At 34.9% G+C, this 3,115-nt stretch overlaps 1 annotated feature.

Annotated features, from left to right (window-relative positions):
• Positions 312-1,511: an enhancer, noted in NCBI's record as "P300/CBP strongly-dependent group 1 enhancer chr3:162012557-162013756 (GRCh37/hg19 assembly coordinates)". NCBI's record gives its function as "activates an origin of replication core promoter dependent on BRD2, BRD4, P300/CBP, MED14 and CDK7 cofactors, with strong dependence on P300/CBP, by STARR-seq in HCT116 cells {active_cell/tissue: HCT116}" and the evidence as "EXISTENCE:reporter gene assay evidence [ECO:0000049][PMID:35650434]".

The raw sequence follows: 3,115 nt of genomic DNA, 5'->3' as shown, positions 1-3,115 counted from the left end.
GTATTTTATAGTCAAAGACCAGTTACATCAATAATTAAACAATATTCACCGATGCCAAAGTGTTTGAGACTCCTAACGTAAGGCAGAATTAAACATATTCCCATTTATTAAGTGTAAAAATTGGAGCATGGAAATATTTAAACTAAGTCATGGTGTTTTCTTTCAACTCTTTAGCTGGAGAATGTCCTAGTTAAAAGTGTAAAGTAAATGAAGTTTGTCTTCCTTTCTCATGCTGCTCTTTCAGAACAATTTTCTATACAAATGCCTGCCCCAGACACCATAAAACTTAAATCCTACTGTTTTTGTTTTTGCCTGGAATTTTCATTTTCATGGATTTGAAATCTCTGCCCTCCACTTTTCTCACACCTTTAAAATATATTAAAGCTTTGCTTCATGTATTCTGGGGCTCCAAAGAGGTCAGTGTGCTAAACTAATCCTGCATTCACTAGGAAGGGGACAGCTTTTTGAAGCAGTAAGTATGTCTGACCTTATCTTTGATAAACCTTTAATTATTTAGCCTAGCTACCAGGCAGAATGTACTGAATTGTTCATTCTAAATTTTCACTGATGGGTTCGTATGAATGCCTCATAAGAAATGTTTGTGTTTAATAACGAAGGGCAGAAGTGAGAGGTTTAAAAGGTTTATTTTAGCAATTACCCAGGGGATTTCCTGGCCAATTTTATGTTGTCTTATCCTGTTACTCACCTAAGATATGCAAGCAAATTCCTAGGTTATCAAGTCACAGGCTACTGCTGAAGGTCTGAAGAGCTAGTCATCGGGTCCGCACCATAAAAGCAAGCATAAAATCACAAAATCATCTGCGAGAAATTATGTGGATTTAACATGACCACGCATTTTTTTGACACTTCTTGCATTGAAAGGTGGTGGCTGTTCTTGAGTCTAGGCTGGCTGGTAACTGCCTTCAATAGCAGAGTATAATAAGTAAACTACTGCTGTGAAGCTCGTGGCCCTGCCTTTTAGGGTAACAACAGATTCTGCTTTGGTCTTTTGGAGCTTTGAGCCACCATTTAAAATGTCTTTCTACCATGATAGAGTAATCTGTGGCACACATTTCTTCTATCCCCAACAAGATACCAGGCATTTGAGCGAAACTGGCAGGGACCCACTAGATGAGCTCAGTTGTTAGCTGAATAGCACCAAATTATATCTGCCATGCTACATGGGGAAGAACTATAATCCATTTGGACTTATCCCAATTTCCTTGCCCACAAAATATACAGAAAAATATAAAATGGTTATTATTTTGAGCTACTAGTAAGTATGAAGACAGTTCAGTATGCAATTAAAACCTTAAATGAGAGAATGCATTGTGTCATTTTCAGGAGACTGGGTAATCTGTTCTTTGTACCTACCTGGAAAAGTTCTAATCTTTTTCAAAGCGATTCATACAAATCTGTGCAGAGCTTGAGATATCTCCTGACATCATACTTAGAAGACTTTGCACTAAGGTCTTCTAAATGACAAATCTCTTTAAATGACAAACTTCTAGTCATGTCCTTTGAACAAATTATAGCATTAATAAATACAAATATTATATTTTTGATTATCCAATTGCCTAATGAGCAAAAAGAATTGTTGTGAGGGATAAAGTTAAATAATATACATAAACTTCATTTGCACAGTATAAAATACAATCCACAAAAAGTTACCACCATACCACTACTGTGAAGATTTTATGAATGCCCCTCTCCATGAAAAATTTTAATCTGGAAAATTGTATTTAGCTTGGAGCCAAGGGAATGATATTGTTATGAGAAAAGCACTATTTAAACAAATATCTTTAAAAAAAAAGAAAACTTTCAAATAGATCTGAAAAAATACATTAAATTTTCTTTAAGATATAATTGATATACCTTAAAAATGACCTCTTAAGGTGTAACATTCAGTCATTTGTAGTATAGTCACAAAGTTGTACAGCTCTCACCACTAATTCTAGAAGATTTTAATTACCCAAAATACACCCTGTAACTAAATGTTATCTTTTAGAAATAATAGAAACGGTGATGATAGTAATAAGAAAAAAAATAATTGAGGACAAATCCATATATTCCAACATAACAGAAAATAAATTAATGAAGTTGCAAGCTTGGAAGAGACAGAACCTGTGTGCAGAAAAAAGCTAACACAGCAGGCCTGAGAAACTATCATTGAAAAAGTCTGCTTCAAAGTTGGCCCTTGGTTTCCATCTGAGAACTGGACTGGTAAAGTTAACGACACTGATATAAAACTTTCTCTAATTGATGAGAGTGTATCACTGTGAATAAACTTTTTATAAAAATGGCATGATTTATGCAACACTTAATCTCCTTCTGGGAGTCTAGAATTTTGGTGCATGATAACCAAAGTGCCTACATGGCTGTCCCAGTAAAAAACTTGGATGCTTAAATTCTACCAGATATAAAAAGAAGATCTAATACCAATACCCTTGAATGTCTCCCAAAAAATAGAGGAGAACAAACTCCTCCCTAACTCATTCTATGAAGGCAGCGTGATCCTGATACTGCAAGCTGGCAAAGACACAAGGAAAAAAGAAAACTACATACCAATATATCTTATGAACATAGCAGCAAAAATGCTTAACAGAATACTATCAAACTGAATCCAACAGATCATCAAAATGTTAATTCACCATAATCAAGTAGGCTTAATTCCTAGGATGACAGGTTGACTCAAAATACACAAATCAATAAATGTGATTCACCACATAAACAGAATTAAAACAAAAAATTACATGATCATCTCAATAGATGTAGAAAAAGCTTTTGATAAAATCCAATACCACTTCATGATAAAAACCCTCAAGAAACTAGACATTGAAAGAACATACCTCAAAATAATAAGAGCCATCTGTGACGAACCCACAGCCAACATCATACCAAATGGGAAAGCAGTGGAAGTATTCCCGTTGAACTGAAACAAACCAAGGAGGCCCACTCTCACCCCTCATATTCAACATAGTATTGAAAGGGCTAGCCAGAGCAATCAGGCAAGAGAAAGAAATGAAAGGCTTCCTAATTGGAAAACAAGAAATCAAACTATTTTTCTACGTGGAAAATATTATTCCATACCTAGAAAACACTAAAGACTCCACCA

The sequence above is a fragment of the Homo sapiens genome, chromosome 3, assembly GCF_000001405.40.
Source record: "Homo sapiens chromosome 3, GRCh38.p14 Primary Assembly".
Lineage (NCBI taxonomy): Eukaryota > Metazoa > Chordata > Mammalia > Primates > Hominidae > Homo > Homo sapiens.
Note: the sequence above shows the minus strand (reverse complement) of the source record. Positions and strands in the feature narration are given on the sequence as shown.